The following is a 22,740-nucleotide window of genomic DNA, read 5'->3' on the forward strand; positions in this document are numbered from 1 at the left end:
ATATACAGGAACACTATGAATAATTGTATGTCAACAAGCTAGATAACCTAGATAAATTGGACAAATTCTTAGGCACAATCTACTGAAATAGACTCAAGAAATAGAAAATATGAGTAGATCTATAACAAAGAAAGAGTTTGGGTAAATAATCAGAAAACTTCCCACAAAGAAAAGCCTAGGCCTGCGTGGCTTCATCAGTAAATTTTACCATATGTTTAAAGAACACCAATTCTTCACAAACATTTCCAGAAAAACCCCACTTATCCACTCATTCTAATACCAAAACTGGACAAAGACATTACAAAAAAAGAAAACTATAGACCAGTAATTCCTATGAGTATAAATGCAAACATCCTCAACAAAACACAAGCAAACCAAATCCAGAAGCATATAAAAAGGTTTATATACTCATTAGTAGGTGAGATGTATTCTAGGAATGCAAGGCTGGTTCAACATGTTGAAATCAATCAATCAATATATGTGTCATTAATAGAATAAAGTTAAAAAATTTTATGATCATTTCAATAGATGCAGGAAAAGCATTTGACAAAATCCAGTACCCTTTCATAATAAAAACATTCAACAAACTAGGAACAGAAGGGGACTTCCTCAAACTGATAAAGAACATCTACAAAAAGCCCAAAACTAACATTATACTTAATACTTATACTCAATAATGATAGATTGAAAACTTCCCTCCTAAGATTAGGATCAAACAAGGATATCCACTTTCACTGCTTTTATTTGACATTGTCCTGGAAGTTCTAGCCAGAGTACTTAGGCAAGAAAAAGAAATTGGCATTCACATTGGGAGGAAAGAATTAAAATGATCTCTCTTTGTAGACAGCATGATCTTATATCTAATAAAAATTATTAGAGCAAATAAAACAGTTCAGCAAATTTACAGGACACAAGATGGATATGCAAAAATCAATTGTACAGTTGACTCTTCAACAATATAGGTTTGAACTGTGTGTTCACTTATATGATTTTCTTCTACCTCTGCCATCCCTGAGATAGCAAGACCAACACCTCCTTTTTCTCTCCTCCTCAGCTTACTCAACATGCAGACAATAAAGACTTTTAAGATAATCTACTTTCACTTAATGAATAATAAATATATTTTCTCTTGTGATTTTCTTTTTTATTCTTTTCTTCTTATTTTTAGAGACAGGGTCTTGCTCTGTCACCTAGGCTGGAGTGCAGTGGTGGAATCATGGCTCACTGCAACCTTGAGATTCTGGGCTCAAGTGATCCTCCCAACCTCAGCCTCCCCGATAGCTGGGACTACAGGGGCCTGCCACCATGCCTGGCCAGTTTTTTATATTTTTTTGTAGAGACAGGGTTTCACCATTTTTCCCAGGGTGGTCTGGAACTCCTGGGCTCAAGTAATCTGCTTGCCTTGTCCTCCCAAAGTGCTGGGATTACAGGTGTGTGCCACCACACCTGGCTAAGTTTTCTTTTTTCTTTTTTGTACAGACAGGGTCTTGCAATGTTGCCCAGGCTAGTCTTGAACTCCTTCAACAGCAGGCTATTAGTAGTAGTTAAGTTTTTGGGGAGTCAAAAGTTACATGCAGATTTTTGACTGTGAAAGGGGGTCAGTACTCCAATTCCTAGTTGTTCAAAGGTCAATTGTATTTTTATACACTATCAATAAATCATTCAAAATAATTTAATAAAGCAATTCCTTTTTTATGTTTTTGACAGGGTCTACCTCTGTTGCTCAGGCTGGAATGCAGTGGCACGATCTTGGCTCACTGCAAACCTCTGCCTCCCAGGTTCAAGCAATCCTCCTGCCTCAGCCTTAGGAGTAGCTGGGAATACAGGTGCACACGACCCTGACTGACTAATTTTTAAATGTTTTTGTAGAGACGAGGTGTCACTATATTGCCCAGGTTGGAAAGGAATTCCATTTAAAAGAGGATAAAAAAGGATAAAATACTTAGGAATAAATTTCACAAAGGAAGTACAAGACTTTTATCTTTAAAAGTACAAAACGTTGTAATGAATTAAAGAACACCTAAATAAATGGAGCAATATTTCAGGTTTATGGATTGGAAGACTTAACATTGTTACATTGTTAAGATGGTCATTCTCTCCTATTTTATCTACAGTTTTAGTGTTATCCTTAAAAGTTCAGTGGTTTTTTTCCCCCAGATATTAACAAGCTGATCCTAAAATTTATATGGAAATGCAAGGGATTTAGAGTAGCCAAAACAAGATTGACAAAGTAAAACAAAGATAATTCACACTTCCCAATTTTGAAATTTAATACACAGCTGCAGTAATCAAGATTATGTGGTATAAGCATACATACAGAGATCAATGGAATAGAACTGAGAGTCCAGAAATGAACTCAGACATTTATGGTCAATTGATTTTTGACAAGGGTGCCAAGACAATTCACTGGAGATAGAATAGTATTTTCAACAAATGGTGCAGGAATAACTTGCTATTGATATGCAAAAGAATGAAGTTAGATCCTTACCTTGTACAATATGTGAAAAATAACTAAAAATAGATATCAAAAACCTAACTATGAGAGCTAAAAATATAATTCTCATAGAAAAAAATAGGTTTAAATTTTTGTGACTTTGGATTAGGTAATGGTTTCAGATATGACAGCCAAAGTATAAGCAGAGAAAATATAGATAAACTGAACTTAATCAAAAGTTAAAACTTTTGAATTTCAAAGGACACTATCAAGAAGGTGAAAATAAACTCACACAATTGGAAAAACGTTTGCAAATGTTTTCACATCTGATAAAGCTGTAGCCAGAATATGAAAAACTGTTACAACTTAACAATGAAAAGACAACCCAATTTTAAAAATGGACAATACATTTGAATAGACATTCTTCAAAGAAGTATATGAATGACCAATAAGCACATGAAAAGATGCTGGACATCATTAGATACTGGGAAAATGCGATTCAAGACTGCAATGTGATATTGCCTAATACCTACCAGAATAGGTAAAATAGAAAAGACAAACATTAGCAAGTATTGATAAGGATGTGTAGAAGTTGGAACTCTCATACATTGCTGGTGGGAATGAAAATGTTGCATTTACTTTGGAGAACAGTTTGGTAGTTCCTCAAAAACTTAAACACAGAGTTGCTATACAACTCAACAATTCCACTTCTACATATATACCCAAGAGAACTGAAAATATATGTCCACACAAAAGCTTGTACACCAATGTCGATAGCAGCACTATTTATTATAGCCAAAAAGTAAAAACAACCGTATGTCCATCAAGTGATGACTAAAGTGTTGTATATCCATATGATGGAATATTATGCAGCCATAAAAAGGAATTAAGTCCTCATATCTGCTACAACATGGGTGAACCTTGAATACATTATGCTAAGTGAAAAAAGTCAGACACATGTCATATGATGCCATTTATCTGAAAAGTTCAGAATAGGCACATCTATAAAGATAGAAAGCAGATTAATGGTTGATAGGGGCTGGGCAATAGGGATATAGTGAGTGACTGCTAATGGGTATCGGGTTTTATTTGGATATGATGAGAGTATTTTGGAATTAGATAGTGGTGACAGTTGTACAACTATATAAATGTATTAAAAACTACTGCATTGTATACTTTAAAGGGTCAGTTTTATGACATGTGAGTTATATCTCAATTTTTAAACAACCAATTGAGAGACAGTATACAAAATACCTGATCATTAATACTCAAAACTGTTAAGGTCATCAAAACCAAAGAAAACCTGAGAACCTGTCACAACCAAGAACAGCCAAAGGAAATGACAAAAAAATGAAATGTGGTATCCTGGATGGGATCCCGGGTTAGAAAAAGGACATTAGTGATAACTGAGGAATTTTGGGTAAAGTCTCTACTTTCGTTGATAATAATGCATCAATATTGGCTCATTAATGGTGACAAATAAACCATACTAAGGGGAAGCTCATGTAAGAGAACTGTGTACTACCATCACAATCATCTAAGTGTTCTAAAATAAAAAGATTGCTTAGAAAAAAGGCTGGCCAGGCGCGGTGGTTTGCACCTGTAATCCCAGCACTTTGGGAGGACGAGGCGGAGGACCACTTGAGGTCAGGAGTTTGAGATCAGCCTGACCAATGTGGTGAAACACCATCTCTACTAAAAATACAAAAAAATTAGCCAGGCAAAGTAGCAGGTTCCTGTAATCCCAGCTACTTGGGAGGCTGAGGCAGCAGAATGGCTTGAGGTGGGAGGTGAAGGTTGCAGTGAATTGAGATCACACCACTACACTCCAGCCTGGGCAACAGAGTTATCCCCGTTTAAAAAAAATAAATGACAGAGGAAAAATATAACTAAGAGCCTATTGTATTATTCGACATGAACTCCTCGAGATAAATACAATCTTGAAGCTCCTTCTAACTTTAGAAACCTGTGATTTCTTGCATAGTTTGGCTAGTTGAGTTTTGTACTGTAAGTTCCACCGGTCAGCTTCTCAGCCAGACTTGGGTAATTTATGTCCAGGGTGACAGGAAGCACTGAGGAAAGAGCGTTCTCATCAGTGGTGATGTAATAATATGTACACCAAACCCTCATGACACATGTTTATCTATGTCACAAACCTTCACATGTACCCCTAAACCTAAAATTAAAATTAGAAAAAAAAGAGTCTCTTTCTCAGACCCTTCCAAACCAACATGTGTGAAACATAGTGAGTTGTCCTTTTAAACTTTTATCATATCATGTAAAGGTGATGTACTCCACAAGTGGCAGGTATTTACTGAGTGCCTGTCATGTCAGGCATCTGGGAGAGACTAGGGTGAAGCCAGGCACAAAACCACACATTCAACAGTGAATTGCATGCATGATGTATTACCATTATTATAGTGAGTATGATGAAGAACAGGATGTTTTGAGAGCATATAACAGGATCTCACCTGAGTTGGCAATTGGGGAAGGTTTCTGAGGCAGGGCAGTGAAGCCAAGAGGAAGGACCTGTAGGAGAACCTTTGGTGAAGAGGAGGGATGGGCTTTTCCAGCAGGGGGAATGGCATTGGGATGTTCCCATGTCTGAAGGGGACAAGGAGTTGGGAGGAACTGACAAAAGACCACTGAGGCCTGAGGTGTGGAGGCAGGTGCTGCATGGGCAGTTGGAGAGGGAAGATGTGAGATTACTCTGAGAAGTAGAAAGGGAGCTAGGAAGGCATTGAAAACTTTTAAGCATGGCGGTGTCTGGGCTAGATATGTATTAAAAACAATACTCTGGGCCAGGTGCGGTGGCTCACACCTGTAATCCCAGCACTTTAGGAGGCTGAGGCAGGAGGATTGTTTGAGCCCTGGAGTTTGAGACCAGCTTGAGCATAACAGAGAGACCCTGTGGTGTGCACCTGTAGTCCCAGCCACTCGGGATGCTGGGAAGATCCTTTGTGACCAGGAGTTGAAGGCTGCAGTGAGCTGTGACCATGCTCCTACATACAGTGAGTATGACTGTACTCCTGGGTGACAAAATAAGACCCCATCTCAAAATAAACAAATGATACTCTAAATGCAACATATGGAATGGATTTTGGGAGCAGTGGTGGAGTGGGAGACCAGTTACAAGGCTAACTGAATAGCCTTTTAACCAGTTAAAAGGCTAACAAATACCAAAGGCAAAAAGTGATGGGGTGGTGGTGGGGGACAGAAGTTGAGTTGAGAACAAAATTAAGAGGTGGAATTAACAAAAAAGTTTATGGAGGATAAAGAATATAATTTATAGATGCTGATAAATACAGAGGTAGCTGTACTAAAAAAAAAACCTAAAGTATTTGTTAAAAAACAAAAGACAAAACCACCAACTAAAACAACCAACTAATCAACCTAAGATTAAATTAAAACCAAGACCCAGGTCTGGAAAAAAAAAAAAAGATCAGCTTTAACAAGTGAATACATGGTATTTTTAAAAACACGATTATTCCTTCAAAATAGTGCCTACAGTGTCTTTCAAAAAGTTGCCTTTCTCTTTTTCAAATCGTGTAAGATGTGTCATATAAGATTTGGGTGTTTTCCCTTTGCCGATGGTTGGAGAGTGGTGATGTGTCTTGCGAAATTAAACCACAGAGAACGTCGATTTGAAACTTTCGGAGTTTCGGAGAAACTGGCCCTAGCTCAGCTGCCAGTGACCAGTGAGATGGATTCAGAATGTTGTCCTAGTGAGGGTGCTCAGTGACAACGCAGGTCAGAGGCAGGGCCGGCTGCGACTCCACAGACAGACTCACAGCCACAGCGTCTACAATACACACAGCTGCTGCCTGGCTGCGTGACAAAGGTGTCTTGGCAGAAGCATTTTGGCTGTCTGAAATACAGCCTTTGCACAATCCTGAGACTATATTTTACAAGTTCATTTTCTAACATCCAGGCACGCTTTTATGGCATCTGGAGCATTTTGCTGAATGACTTGGTAGTGCACTGCTGACCAGACAGCACATTTCCAGATTTAGATTATAAGAGAAAAACAGCAAGTGGTAAGTTCAGCTGCAGGTCAATGGATACTTATACTACAGTTCCCTCACTGAGCACTGGGCTACTTTATCCCATGGGGACCAATCCTGTAAAGTGTATTCAACAGAGATGGCCCTAGGTGTTTGCTTTTATGGTTGTTAGCCACATTCACACTGGGAATGTGCTGTTATCACATTGTAAACATTATTCTTAATATCAGAAAGAAAACTGGGGAGAGTGTCAAGAATTGGCATGCACAAACTGATAGAATTGCCAGTGGACGTTCTTATTTTCTGAGCATTTATGAGCTGCAGGAGGTAGGTGCAGTCTGTAAAACAAAGGTGGTGAGAAACATTAACCATTTTTTATTGATTTTATTTCAAACTGTGTACATCTTACACGTTTTAGGTTCTTTGTAATGTTGGGATAATTTGGAGGGGACATAATGATGTTCACTGACAAATAGCTTTCTGAAAAAGTCAGGAGTTCATACATTATCCTGCATTGATGAAAGACTTTCAGCCTTTCAAAGCATTATTAGACTTACTACTTAAAATTTTTGCCCAGCTTGTTCAATTTTACTCTTAAGAAGAAGGGAGGGTTAAAAAAATAGTAGTATTAAATATATGAAATCTTAATTTTAAATGATGGCTGTCATCAAGTGTGCCCTCAATGAGAACAAACATTTTTATACATTTGTACTAGAGATGCCCAGTATTGCTTGCTCACCCTCAGTCCCTGTTGTCTTTAATAATCGTGTTATATACAACACAATTTCACCCTGTCTGTTCCTTCAGCCTACCCCTGTTCCATACCTTCCCCAGCTATTAGACTTGGGTGGTCCCTTGACTTCACATCCAGAAATGTCTACAGCTCAGACTGACCAGTTACCAGGTTCTGTGTGCACTGGCCTACACAGATATTATGAGTCCTTCAGAATCAGAAGATGGGAAACTGAAGCCTATGCCAGCCAACCAAAAAGGTCATAGGTAGACTGATAGCTAAGGCAGCCATTTTGGTCATGTGCAAGGTATCAGTTGGTAAAGGGAAAAAAATGAAACTCACATGTAGAGAGAGATGTGATTAAAGAAAGAAAAGAAGTAAGTAACTGCCTGGGATCCTGATAGTTTCTGAGCCAGACCTAGGCCATTTATCTTTAAAATAAATCGACTTTTTCCTTGAGGTAACCTGAATGAGGCTCAATCTTTACAGCCAAAGAAAAATTATCCTTATCAGTGATGTCTGCCTGGTGGCTGGTGAATGGTAAAAACTGGCAGGAGAGACCAATCCGATGGGAAATCAAGTTCAGGTAGGAAATTTGGTTTTAAACCATAGAGAATATTTAAGATTGCTACTTCCTTATTCAGACCTGGTCACTGTGGAGCAATCATCATTACTCCCATTTATCCAAGGCATAGCTGTACATAAGTTTTGTCTCACCTTGGGTGAGATTTCCTTAAAATAAAATACTATAATCATAATGGCTTACTTATGCTTTGGCTTTCATAAAACAAAACAACAACTATGCAAAACCTACCTGTGTCCTCTGTGGTTGGATTGAAAAAAAAGGGGGTAGGTTGTGAAATTAAGCTGAGGACGTGACCATGTGTCTGATGACTAAGATGGAACCCATGTAGGAGTTGAGTCAGTAATAACATGCCTCTTGCTGCAGCTCAAGTTGCCTGCAAACCCCCACGCTTTTTAGCAAATATTATTTTGAATGTCAGAGTGCACAGAGCCGTTCTCTAGGGTTGGGCTAAATTTGACTCTGTGGGAGAATAAACCTAGAATTCCAAATGTGGTGATCCCAACAGAGTATGTGATGCAAGACCAATTTTCCACTTGTGCCGGGTGGGTTTGTTCAAATCTCACACAGAAATGAGAGATGCCAGACGGGGTGTTGACTTGCCCCAAACATAAGGTAGTAATTTAGGTTTTATTTTAAATAAGAATTAGAGTCTGGGTAATCCAAAATTTTAATTTAGAAAGGAGCCTGGGAGAATGGCAGAAGACAAGAGCTAGGCAGCCCTGTGAAGAAGGGTTAGGAGTGGAGCGATGAGGCCTCGTGTGCTTCAGTCCAGTTCTGGAAGAGCTGATTTGTAGTAAAAAAGAGGCAACTCTAAATCTGTGTCTTAGCATGGTTTTGTAGAAAAGCCTAAAGGTGATTCTGGGTGCTGTGATTTGAGGTAGTAGTTTCTTTCTTTAATGTGCAGATAATAGAGTAAACTTTAATGATTAAAGCATTATAAGCTGACTGCAGTGTTTAAACACTGACCCAGTTTCAGCAGTGACCTAATAAGGGTGGCCTGGGAGAAGGGGGGGCTCAGGGGCAGCTTGGAAGAAATAGGTCAAAAGGATTTCTCCCAGTTCTTCTCAGGCAGACACAATGGGACTTGGCATTCTTTGTGCAAAGCCTGGCGGTTGCATGAAGAATTTTCTCCTGAAATGCTCCTCTATGCAATTTACTCTTGGTTCAAGTCGATGCTTGTGATGCTGGGTCATTCTTTTGGTTTGAGGAGGATGTAGTGTATTCATTCAACAAATATTTATTGAGCACCTACTATATCTGAGGTACCATGTGGATGGCTAAGAATACAGTAGTGAATAAAACAGTGTCTGTTCTCATGGAGCTTACTTTCTAGTGGAGAAAAGCCTGAGTTCAAATCCTGACTCAATCAGTTATCAGCTTGGTGAGTTACTTAACCTTGGGTAAGTTAACCTGTCTGTCCCTTTGGTTTCCATATCTGTAAAATGGGATGACAAAATTGTACTTACCCCGTAAGACTGTCATGAGGATTAAATTGAGGCCACACATGTAAAGAGCTTACAACAATGAATGCTTTGTAGCAAGGACTTCATATAAACAATTACATGTCAAAGTGAGTGAATGAGCTTTAGTTGTCCAAAGATGGAAGAACAATGAAAACATTCATATGGAATTCTCATGGGTCTGGAATAAGCATTTAAGCAAGGCCTTCTACTGAATATGGCTATCAGGTGTGGAGTTCAAAATGTGTGAAAAACCAAGAGACCCAGAAACCCTCATTTAAGCAAACAGCCTTTGAAACAGAAGCCTGACTTTAGCTATCACATTCATATTCTTATGCCAAGAGAGATCCTGCATAGAATTAGTAGGTAATATTAAAACTTTGGTTTCTTTTAGGGAGGGAGATGTTACCCTTGTCCCAGTGGAAGACTTGTCATGTGAATTTGCTGGTAGCCTCCCTGGGGTTGTGAGACATTGACACCACATTATACTTTGCATGGGGAAGAGTGATTTGCTAACTCAGTTTTTATATGATATCCTGAGAAATCTGTGATTTCTCATCCTGCTGTCAACGTGCATTAGACTGTTGGAGCTGAACTGTCACTCCACCACCTTTCAGCTCAATTTCTTTATCTGTAAAACAAAAGAAGCTGAAAGAGTGACCTTCGGTTAAAGCCATAGGACCCTAGGAACCAGTCCTTCATAAATTTATGTCCACATAGCTGAGATACCTGCAATATTGCATCCCAGATATCAAAGCACACATATCTCACTTTAAGTTGATGCTTACTCATACCTGGAGTAGATGCTGATGGGTGTTGGTTCTGTTATGTCTATAGACATGATGCTCTTTAAATAGAAAGGCATTTGTTCATCCCAGATGCTTCAGTTTGTATGGTCTTCTCCCTTGAGATTTCCAAATATGGTTCTGGAGGAAATGGGTACATATTCTTTCTTTTTGGAGCAAAGGCTTTTTGGAACAAGGGCCATGTTGCTGATGAAAATGTTATATTGGGTCTCATGGCAATTCCTTTATTGCTTTCTTGACCCTGTGTCATTCAGGGAGTGTCAAAAACCACATGGTGCTTCTGAGACCTACAATTTTTGCATTTAGTTCTCTGATTTAGCTGACAGATGTTAAAACACAGATATAGCCAGATAACTCCCCAGTGACAACACAGATGCAAAAACTGAAAAGTGCAGTTACTCCAGCTTGGGGAGGGATTATATTGGATATTCAAAATTTTCCCTACTGAAGCCCTTACATTTTTCATGTGTTTCTGTTAGGCTAATGTGGCTTAGGTTAGAGGAAACTGAGTCTCTTTCCTTCTGGTTGATTCAATCATTCATATCCTCAAGAAAATGTGCCAATCTGGAGCTCAGGAGATCCTGAGAATATTAACAATAACAGCAGGCTCAAGTCTCTTTTATGGCTGGCAGGGCTCTGACAGAACAACTTTGGGTCTGAAGAGAAATAAAACAAAAAAGATCTGAGATCTGGAGGGAAATTTCATTGGGACTTACCCAGTCATTTTATGGATTAGGAAATACGAGGCCTACAGTGACTTTCTCGGGGTCACAGATAGGAGTAACAGAACCAGGGCTAGATCTAGGTCTCCTAACTTGCAATTGAGTCTTTCCCCATTGGTTCCTGGCCTCTCGTGTGTCCCCTGCATCTCCCTGAGGTTTACCCTTGAGATTGGTGTTGGGGACTGTGACACATGGTGGAGGCTGCAGTAGGGCCTCTGGCTCTCTCCAGTCTTGGGCGTGCCTCATCTCAGCCCATTGCCTTTGGGGAAATGCTAGCCACAAACATAGTGAGTTAAATTCTTGGACTATCAGATATAGCTCAGACTTTCAAGATGATAAATAAAGAAACTGAGGTTCAAAGAGGGAATGTGACTCGCTCAGCAATTCAGAAAATCAATTAACAAATAATTATGGAGCACTTAGGATGTGCCGGGCCTGTGGAAACTGCTGGTGGGTGGGTGGGTAGGTGGGGGCGGGGGGCGGCATTTGACTAAGAATAAGACAGACAGGTTCTTACCCTGGAAGAATTTACCATCCAGGAACAAGAGAGCAAACAGCCACAAGTGGGAGGAATATTTAGAAGCGAGGAGTCCCCTTGGAGAACTTGACCTGGTCTGACAATCAGGAGCAGACTCGAATCTTCTGTTCCCTCTGTCGAGATGCCTCGTCTCTCTAGGTCTTGCTGACTTGAATGTGTGTGGAGAGTTCAAAGCCAGGAAAGGATATGTTTGAGGTAACCTGCTTTCCTACCCTATTTAGATTTTAGGTTAATTTTAAAAATGTTTCCCTTTTGTATAAGATTATTTTGATGCTTTTAGACCCTATCATTACCCTATTATTTATTACACTGAAGAATCTATTTAAATATTGGCCTCACTACAGGCCACCCTCAAAGTGGGCCAGTTCTTAGGGCTCATAGGGGAACTATGACCCAGTGTACCCCTACAGAAAAGCCACTGTCTCCATGGCTTCTGGTTGCCTCTAGATAGAAATCTAAAAGCCCACTGATGAGTTTGTGACATTTAGCAATTGCCAACCTTTGCCTAGACTACCATCATGTGTCCTGGGAAGATGCCCCCTTCCTGATCCACAGACCTCTTTTCTCCATGTTGTATTTCTCGGGATTTGGAACTTTTCTAGATGACAGTTGTTTTTCTTGCTCAAAGGGAGGGTAGCATGCCTTTCTCTGAGCCATGTTCCCCCGCCCCCTTCCACTTAGAGCCTGCCTCTTTCTGACCAGCTCCACCTGCCCCTGCAGCAGCCCTACTGCCCTATGTACCAGCTGCAACTGGTTTTGTGTATGATTATGTATTTAAAACAATTTGTGTTCCTGTCTCTTTTCATTATGTCCATCCTCTCTACTCCTCTGGATTACAAGTGTCGTGAGAAGGGGGGTTGAGGCTCCTATTTCCTGTAGGGCTTAGATTACTGAGGCGCAGTTGGCTGGCGGCTGGGCAGACTGAACCCTGCTGTTCAAAGGCAGATGGGAGAGCCGGGGCGGGGGATCTGAGCCACCAGCCCAGTGGTCCAGAGCAGTTGTCTGAGGCAGGACACCAGGCTGCAACACTAATTTGCCATGTGACTCTATTTTATTTTATTTTATTTTTGAGACAGGGTCTTGCTCTGTCACCTAGGCTGGAGTGCAGTGGCGTGATCTCAACTCACTGCAACCTCCACCTCCTGGGTTCAAGCAATTCTCCTGCCTCAGCTTCCTAAGTAGCTAGGATTACAGGCATGCGCCAACGCGACCAGCTAATTTTTGTATTTCTAGTAGAAACGGGGTTTCACTATGTTGGCCAGGCTGGTTTTGAACTCCTGATCTCAAGCAATCTGCCTGCCTCAGCCTCCCAAAGTGCTGGGATTACAGGCGCAAGCCAGAGCGCCCAGCCGCCATGTGACTTTAGACTGGATTTCAGTTTCCTTGTCTAAGTGTCTCCTCATGTCGGGATCCTGTGGTGTGATGTCTGGGAGAGTACCCTGAACTTAGTACTTAAAGTATTAAGACTATGTCATAATGTCTCATTCTTAGACCCTGTCGAGTATGTGTAGGGCCGGAAAATGTCCTTCAGGCTTCTTTGAGTTGGGTCTGGATCCTGAACCACTAGGTTTTAATCCTTGTCCTCATCAGAGGGACAGACAGTATTGAGTGACCCAGGGGACAAAGTCAAAATGGCTGTGGGCACTGGCAAGAGAGGAGGCTCTCAAATAAGGAAACAATGGCATGAAAAAGTTTTAACATTATATATATATATATATATATAGTTAATACACATGCTTGTATGTTTTTGTGTATGTTCATGTGTGTATGTGTATGTATATAAAAGCATCAAAATTGATATATATCATAGGGAAAACCAAAACTTGGTAAGATTTCATTTTACCCGTTTTACAGTCTAAACCTTAAAACTGCTTGCAATTTTAATTATCAATGAGGAATGGACATAATAATCTGTTCAGTGCTCAGGGGCTCTGAAGCCCTTAAATTCTTGATGTAGGAACTCTCCCTCCAACCCAGAGTGCCAGGGTTTTGCTTGCCACCTCTTCTGATCTGTCCTTACCTTCTCCGTGTTTTCCATTGGTGAAGATACATCTATGTCTCAGCTCAAGCCCTGCTCCCATTGCATTGGAACAGTGTGTAGCTGTGCACACTGTCCACACTTAAGAAAGGGTGATGCCAGACTCAAAAAGCCTTGGGGAAGAGAAAGCTCATCCCCTTTAGATGAAAGAAATCCTGGAGTGAGGCCAGGTGGAATATTCTCAAGTCATTCCTGATGTGTCATTTGTCTACAGCAGAGCAAATTATGGCTGCCTTTTATGGGCATTTGAAAGGCCAAAGGCAGCGATCCACTCTGAGTATATACCCCAAAGAATTGAAAGCAGGGTCTTGAAGAGATATTTACATAGTCATGTTCACAGTAGCATTATTCACAATAGCCAAGAATGTTGATTGCAACCCAACCCAAATGTTCATTGACAGATGAGTGGATAAAATATGGTATGTACATATTCTATACATATGTCTACATTAGGCTAAATGAATTAGCCAGTCATAAAAAGATAAAAACTGTAGGATTCTAGTTGTATGAGGTACCTAGAGTAGTCAAATTCATAGAAACAGAAAGTGGAACAGTGATTGCTTGGGGTTGTGGGAAGGAGGAAATGGAGAGTTATTGCTTAATGGATGTGGAGTTTCAGCTTTGCAAGATAAAAAGAGTTCTGAAGATTGCACAACAGTGTGAGTGTACTTAACACTACCGAACTGTACACTTAAAAATGGTTAAGATGGTGAATTTTATGTTATATGTATTTTACCACAATTAAAAACAAACAAATCCTAATGCCCAGGCTGCACCACAGACCAATTAAATCAGAATCTCTGTGGGTGGCTTTCAGATATCCTTATTTTTTCAATTTCCCCAGGCTAAGCTAAGGTGGAGAACCACTGGACCAGAGGCAGGAAATGCAATCTTGAGGTGGTAGCTGTAAACCAGGGGTGAAATGAAAAGAATGGAATCACAGGGAATAAAACAAATTGGATGGTTTGGACAGTCAGTCTTCAGCGATAGATCAGATATGGAACGAAGGAAAGAAGAAGGAAAAAGAAAAATAATGGATCAAAGAAGTTTCCAAGGGCCTAGACTAAATTGTGGATTTATGGAAAAACTGAATGTTTATTGGTAGGTGTTGGGAGTGATTATTTATTTTAGTTTATGGTAATGCAGGTAGAAATTTCTTAGAGGCAGCTGGAAATTTTCATTGCCAAAATTATTCATGTATTTCCCTTGTAGAAGCCAGAGTTTCATTTTACAGTAAAAATGAACTTTTAAAAAAACATTTGTTCATTTATTTGTTTCTTTTTAAGTGTTTAATTGTTAGAGGCAGCTGGAAATTTTCATACTCAAAATTATTCATGCATTTCCCCCATGGAAGCCAGAGTTTCATTTTACATTAAAAATTAACTTTTAAAAAATATTTGTTCACTTATTTGCTTCTTTTTAAGCATTTAACGGACAGATAAAGAGTGAATACATTAAAATTATACAACATGATGATTTGATATAAGTATACATTGTAATGATTATCATAATCAAATTAATGAACACATTCATCACCACCCATGCTGTACATTAGATCCCCAGACCTTGTTCATCTTATAAACTGAAAGTTCGTGCCTTTTGATCAACATCCTCCCACTTTCTCCAGTCCCCTGGCCCTGGCAACCAGCATTTTACTCTCTGTTTCTATGAGTTTGACTTTTTTAGATTCTAAATATAATTGGGGTTATGCAGTATTTGTCTTTCTGTGTCTGGCTCATTTGACTTAGCATAATGTCTTCCAGGTTCATCCATGTTGTTGCAAATGACAGGATTTCCTTCTTTTTTATGGCAGAATAATATTCGATTGCATATATGTATCTGTATCCATTCATCTGTTGATGGATGCTTAGGTTAATCCCATATCTTGGGTATTTTGAATAATGCTGCATTGAACATATGATTGCAGATATTTTTTTGAGCCATCGATTTCATTTTCTTTGGATATTTTTATCCAAAAAACCCCAAAACAACAACAACAACAACAAAAGAAGAAAAATTGCCCAGGGAGCATTATATCTTCAGGAGCCAAGAATAAACCTAGTTTCAGAGTTCCTTTTGGCAAAGCCATGAAGTTGGAGAGCTTTGTCTGTGGCAATCCTTCTCTTGCTGTCTCCTACCTGCCTCTGAATGTTCTGTGGGCCTCCACTTTCTCAGGATCCCATTCAAGTCACATTGCCCTGTTCCTCCTCTCTTTCTAGAAATTCCTGGTAAACAAGTAAATCCCATAGTAAACAAATTTGCGTGAAGGCAATAGAAACTCCCACACTATTTTTTCTAAGAGCATTCACATTTTTAAAATAAATGGAATGAAGAGATCAATACTTATTATAAAATAATAAAACTAGAATGGTGATATTTCAGGAAGGAGAAATTTTGGATAAGATTGCCATTTCTGGCCTCTTGGAAGCACCTCTGTAAATAGTTCTGCTTAGGTGTTCAGACCTGGGTGGGCAAGAGGGGTATTCAGTGATTTGCATGGACCCAGAGAGTCAGCAGATGGGTGCTGGGAGGAGGATACTGAGTCACATATGTGGTCTAGACATATGGATGATGGGAAAGAAAAGTCATTTATGACATTAAATATATCACCTTCCAGTGCCACTAAATCATGTTTTCTGAGCAGAGCAGAGTCACAGCTCCCTACTTTACCCTGTGGTATTCAGCAGGCCAAAGATTTAAGGAAGGACTTAAAAAGTGTCCTTTGGATGCCTTCATCACAGTGCCTGAAATTGCATGCTGTGACTACAAGCCTTTGTCATGTTTACTGATATGGTTTGACTCTGTCCCCACCCAAATCTCAACTTGAATTGTAACTCCCAGAATTCCCACGTGTTGTTGGAGGGACCCAGGGGGGAGGTAATTGAATTATGGGGGCTGGTCTATTCTTGTGATCATGAATAAATCTCATGAGATCTGATGGGTTTATCAGGGGTTTCCACTTTTGCTTCTTCCTCATTTTTCTCTTGCTGCCACCATGTAAGAAGTGCCTTTTGTCTCCTGCCATGATTCTGAGGCCTCCCCAGCCACGTGGAACTGTAAGCCCAATTAAACCTCTTTTTGTTCCCAGTTTCGGCTGTCTTTATCAGCAGTGTGAAAACTGTATTAGTCTGTAATACAGTAAATTGGTACCAGCACAGTGAGGTGCTGCTGGAAAGATACCCAAAAATGTGGAAGCAACTTTGGAACTGGGTAACAGGCAGAGGTTGGAATAGTTTGGAGGGCTCAGAAGACAAGAAAATGTTGGGAAGTTTGGAACCTCCTGGAGACTTGTTGAATGGTTTTGACAAAAATGCTGATAGTGGTATGAACAATAAGGTCCATGGTGCGGTGGTCTCAGATGGAGATGAGGAACTTGTTGGGAACTGGAACAAAGGTGACTCTTGCTATGTTTTAGCGAAGAGACTGGTGGCATTTTACTCCTGCCCTAGAGATCTGTGGAGCTTTGAACTTGAAAGAGATGATTTAAGGTATCTGGTGGAAGAAATTCCTAAGCAGCAAAGCATTCAAAAGGTGACTTGGGTGCTGTTAAAAGCATTCTGTTTTAAAAGGGAAACAGAGGATAAAAGTTCAGAAAATTTGCAGCCTGACAATGCAGTAGAAAAGAAAAACCAATTTTTTTTTTAAGGTGAAATTTAAGGCGGCTGCAGAAATTTGCATAAGTAGCAAGTAACCTGTTAATCCCCTAGACCATGGGGAAAATGTCTCCAGGCCATGTCAGAGACCTTCATGGCAGCCCTTCCCATCACAGGCCCGGGGGCCCAGGAGGAAAAAGTGGTTTTGTGGGCCAGGCCCAGGGTCCCCATGCTGTATACAGCCTAGGGACTTGGTGCCCTGTGTCCCAGCCGCTCCAGCCTTGGCTGAAAAAGGCCAACACAGAGCTCGGGCTGCAGCTTCAGAGGGTGGAAGCCCCAAGCCTTGGCAGCTGCCATGTGGTGTTGAGCCTGTGGGTGCACAGAAGTCAAGAATTGAGGTTTGGGAACCTCCGCCTAGATTTCAGATGTATGGAAATGCCTGGATGCCCAGGCAGAAGTTTGCTGCAGGGGCAGGGTCCTCGTGGAGAACCTCTGCTAGGGCAGTGCGGAAGGGAAATGTGGGGTTTGAGTCCCCTACACAAAGTCCCTACTGGGACACTGCCTAGTGGAGCTGCGAGAAGAGGACCACCATCCTTCAGACCCCAGAATGTCCCGTCAGCTTGCACTGTGCACCTGGAAAAGCTGCAGACACTCAACGCCAGCCTGTGAAAGCAGCCAGGAGGGAGGCTGTACCCTGCAAAGCCACAGGGGTGGAACTTCCCAAGACCATGGGAACCCATCTCTTGCAACAGTGTGACCTGGATGTGAGACCTGGAGTCAAAGGAAATCATTTTGGAGCTTTAAAAATTGACTGCCCCATTGGATTTAGGACTTGCATGGGCCCTGTAACCCCTTTGTTTTGGCCAATTTCTCCCATTTGGAATGGCTGCATTTACCCAATACCTGTACCCCCATTGTATCTAGGAAGTAACTAGCTTGCTTTTGATTTTACAGGCTCATAGGTGGAAGGGACTTGCCTTGTCTCAGATGAGACTTTGGACTGTGGACTTTTGGGTTAATGCTGAAATGAGTTAAGACTTTGGGGGACTGTTGGGAAGGCATGATTGGTTTTGAAATGTGAGAACATGAGATTTGGAGGGGCCAGGGGTGGAATGATATGGTTTGGCTGTGTCCCCACCCAAATCTCAACTTGAATTATATCTCCCAGAATTCCCACATGTTGTGGGAGGAACCCAGGGGGAGGCAATTGAATCATGGGAGCTGGTCTTTCCCATGCTATTCTCATGATAGTATATAAGTCTCACAGGATCTGATGGATTTATCAGGGGTTTCCACTTTTGTTTCTTTCTCAGTTTTCTCTTGCTACCACCATGTAAGAAGTGCCTTTTGCAGGCGCGGTGGCTCATGCCTGTAATCCCAGCACTTTGGGAGGCTGAGGCAGGTGGATCACGAGATCAGGAGTTCGAGACCAGCCTGACCAACATGGTGAAACCCCATCTCTACTAAAAATACAAAAATTAGCTGGGTGTGGTGGCAGATGCCTTTAATACCAGCTACTCAGGAGGCTGAGGCAGGAGAATTACTTGAACCCAGGAGGCAGAAGTTGCAGTGAGCTGAGATCGCACCATTACACTCCAGCCTGGGCGGTAGAGTGAGACTCTGTCTCAAAAAAAAAAAAAAAAAAACAACTGCCTTTTGCCTTCTGCCATGATTCTGAGGCCTCCCCAGCCATGTGGAACTGTAAGTCCAATTAAACCTCTTTTTGTTCCCAGTTTCAGGTATGTCTTTATCAGCAGTGTGAAAATGGACTAATACATTTACTTTGGACAATTTAAGCAGGAAAGTCCAGGCTACTCCTGGAAATGACGATAACAAGAAAGAGACAAAGCACCTGAAAAAGCATGTAGAGTTGTTGAGCTTTTATCTTTCTTTCTGGTTCAGCATCTGGCATAGTAGGTGCTAGACTGACACTTGTTGAATGAATGGAGGTATAGTAGAAATAGCTTCTCTGGGATTAATTTTATGGTTTGTAGTTTTGTTGCACTATGTATGGGTGGCATGTTGAAGGAAAACCCTGAAGGCCTAGATTCCAGTCCCACTTTCGCCACTCATTACTTCTGTGACATTGGCCCAGACACTTTGACTTCTCTGGATCTCATTTCCTACTTGTAAAACAGGGACAATAATGCTGTCCTTCTCATGCACATGGTTGTTATTTGCATTAAATGAGATAATGGGCATGAAAGCAATGGAAAACTCTTAAGGTACTCTACAAATATAGAATATAATCATTTTGAAAGCACCTGGCTTTGTAGACAACTGCGTGAACTAATGTATATTGATCAAGACATGTGTCTCGTTAGGTAAAAACTGAAAGTAAAACTCATACACTTAAGATGTGAAAATAAACTCAGCATCTGGCGTAACACTAATTTCAAAAAGTAGTATATTAATTTCAAGTAGGAAATTAAAACAATAAAACTGTGATGTGAAAAATGTTCAACATTGATGCCTCTGACCTACTTCTGATGTCCAACATATTTACAATTCTCCCGAAGACATTTCTATTAGGTTAAAACCCATTAGTATTTGTGAACAAACACAGAGTTTCTACCATTCACTGGGCACTATTAGGTACTAGGTGTCCGGGGATATTTCTATTGCTGTTCTTAGCTCTATTGTTGGTTTACTTGGCCAGTGGTTGCTAGCTTTGCCAGTGTGTGTGTGTTTGTGTGTGTGTGTTACTTATCACAAGTTTCGTTAGCTTGACAAAGAGCTGTGTATATTCATTTACATGACAAATACTTTTTTTGGATTAGCAACTCTAATAAGTACAGGGTATTTAGAAACTGTGTGTGTGTTTTTCTACCTGCAGTCGTAGTCTTAAGTATGTTTCTTAATAGCTATTGAACATAAGTTTAATATTAGCTGGATGAATAAAGTATTAGTTACTGTATTCTCTTAAAAATAGACGTAGCTTTGTTACAGCACAGAAAACTGAGCTGACCTCTTACTAGATTGGCTAAAATGAATTCTGATTAAACATTTTGTAATGGTTTATAAAGTTCGCTTCTCTACAGTATATTAAAAGATTTGTTTAAATGTTGACTGTAAGTTTGGTAAAAATGACAAAGCGGTAAAAATGACATTTGGTAAAAATGACAAGGCTTACACTTTTTGATGATGTTCATTTTCCCCAAAAGTACAGCTAAAGCTTTATCCATTATAATGAGAGTTCAGAAAAGGCAAATGACCACCTCTTTTTTTAAACCAATATGTCTTTGTGCAGTAATTTTCTTGTGGCAAGTGGCATAATCTGGGCGAAGGTAGTGATAAAACTCAGATATATTTCAAGAAAGCGAGTAAACACACTAATGACAATATTCGTATATTACATGCATCTGCTGCTTATGTACTTAAAAAAACTAAATAGGAAAATCTTACTCATCTCTGTAGAAAAACAGGGTAGAGATTACAACTTGGGGACTTCGTGATATTTTGTCTGTGTGCAGTTTGTCAGAAGGCAATTTATCTAAAGCTGGAAAAGGATATGGTTTGGCTGACTAAACTGTGTAGTGATACGAGTGATACGTAATGATAAAAATGCTTAGGGGAATTTTCGGGGCGCTCAAGTCAAGTGTACAGTGCTGTGTGGGTGTAAAAACCAGACTTCTCTCTCTGTGAAAGTTGCTGACATTTTATACCACATGCTGGACCGTTAAATCACAATTTACGTGGTCACTTGTAAATACGCCTGGTGGTGGAGGGCGAGCTTGTTTGTGCACACTTTGACATGCTTCCCTGTTGTGTGCCTCTCCCCTTTTTAAATTGCACTGGATACTTTTGTTCTGGAATCCTTGGCTGTCTAACCTGAAAGCAGTTTGGGTGAGAACTCTGGAACTGATTTATTTTCATAGGTGCTCCCTGAGGGGAGGTTTGAAGGATAATGCAGAAAAGCAAGCCTTCCAATCCTCCAACTAAAGTTCTCTAACTTGCTATTAACATGATTTCAGGCTTGCTAGAGTGCCCGAAATTCTGACATGAAGGGATTCCTTCTTCCACCACTGGGATTTGGAAGTCCCTAGGATGTTTGAATGGGGCATATTATTTAAACTCATTTTCAGTCTCCTCATTGGTAAAATGGGGCTACTCATACTTATCAAAGAGGGTTTTTGTGGAGATCAAATGAGACAATGCAAGTCACTTACTTGATATATGCTTAATAGTGACAAACATAGTGATATATATATATTAATAGTGATAGTTATTGCAATTTTTCTTTTTGTTAGGGGGAAGAGGAGGACAAACAGGCCTTTAACATGGTGGAGAATTTGTTTCCCTTCCAAATACAGTTGGAGGATTACAGAATTGATGCTCAAAGAGAAGGCTTTGCTTTCATTGCTTAAGAGGGTTTCTTGGAGAGGTTCAGCAAGAGAAACACAAAATGAGATGTAGAAAGGGGATGGGGAAGGAGACTGCATACTAATGTGTTTCATTTCCAAGTGCTTTAACTTTTCTAAGCACTAAGTCATCTGCTAACTTGTCTTCATAATATATGGGTAAAGTTGGCAGGGTGGGTATCCCTTTCTACGGGTGAGGAAACTGGAGTGTGGACAGATAAACTCACCTGTTGTCACACAACAAATCAGTGGTACAGTTGGGATTAGGACCCATGTCTCATACTCTGAGCACAGCAGTCTCTCTATTAGGTGACATTCTCAGAGTTCAATAATTTCTTTCACAGTTTTGTGTTCAGACCTGGGGTCCCCATTGCTGAGCCTATTATTGGCACCTTACAAAATATCACATATGAGAAAGGTTGTAGTCTCTTGGTCCAAAGGACTACTTTCACCTGGAGATGGTTGGAGTTGTAGTATCTGAGTTAGATAAGTTTTCACTTCACGGTCATGGGTGGAGGTCTTTCTTGGACTTGGGCCAGGAAGAATCACTGACCAGGAAGGTCACACAAGGCCTGAGTCCTTTCTAACACCATCTGTGCACTGTATTTCAGGGCCTAGTGGCTGCATTGAAAGGAATGGAAAGTAGTTGCTGGTTATGTTGAGAAATATCAGGAAAGTGTGATGCCTTTCTCCTGTATTCCCTCTTCCCTCCCTCATTTTTTCACTTTATTGATAAAAATAATCCCAAAAGATCAGAGAGGGGTTCTATAGGTGTTAAACCACTGTGTTATGACTTGAACTACAAAGCCCTTGGGGGCATTCAATTTCCTCATGTTTTGGGGTAGCAGCAAAATTTAATTTTAGGTAGAAAAGGGTTAACTTAGGGGCAATGTAATTCCCAAATTATCAGTGTGAAAATCATCTAACTGTATGTGAAAAATCCAATAATGTTAAAGGTAATTATCTGGGAAAGTAAAAATAATACACAGGTCTTTGGCCAGAAATAAGGATTTGGAACATTTCTCTATGCATAGAGAGTTCTCTAGTAGGCAAATTTAGATTCATGTCAGTCATTAAAGGTCCCTGTGAAGTATTTAGTTTATCAATTTAGCGCTACATTTTTCTACAAAGAAGAGTTGGAGTGGTTTAGGTAAGAACACAGATATGCTAAAACCAAACCAGATGAACCCAAGACAGAAACTAGAAAGAAGGCAGAAGGAGAGGATGAAGATGTAGCAGTGAGAAGCCTGTTGGAGGAAAGTTTGAGTCAGTGAATGTAAGCACTTTAGCTTCCTTGTGGCCTGGAGAGCAGGTATTTTTTGGCTATTTTCTTTTTTTATACATGTATCTCCAGCACTAGAAGAGTGCCTGACCTGTAGTTGCTCAATCAATACTTGCTGAATAAAAATATATGAAAATCTGTCAAATAAAGGGTTTAAAAAAGCTGGACTAAAATGTTGAAAAT

At 40.3% G+C, this 22,740-nt stretch overlaps 2 long non-coding RNA genes across 2 annotated transcripts in view; both read left to right on the plus strand.

The window, feature by feature from the left end:
• The window catches only part of DLEU1 (deleted in lymphocytic leukemia 1), a 446,475-nt gene that overhangs the window by 134,452 nt on the left and 289,283 nt on the right, over positions 1–22,740 (plus strand). The gene's annotated exons all lie outside the window — the stretch shown is intronic.
• LOC124900337 (uncharacterized) lies at positions 6,218–22,724 on the plus strand. Its single transcript, XR_007063796.1, has 2 exons — positions 6,218–7,757; positions 11,285–22,724. It is a non-coding gene; the product is annotated as an uncharacterized LOC124900337 (long non-coding RNA).

Source organism: Homo sapiens, chromosome 13 (genome assembly GCF_000001405.40).
Source record: "Homo sapiens chromosome 13, GRCh38.p14 Primary Assembly".
In the NCBI taxonomy this organism is placed as follows: domain Eukaryota; kingdom Metazoa; phylum Chordata; class Mammalia; order Primates; family Hominidae; genus Homo; species Homo sapiens.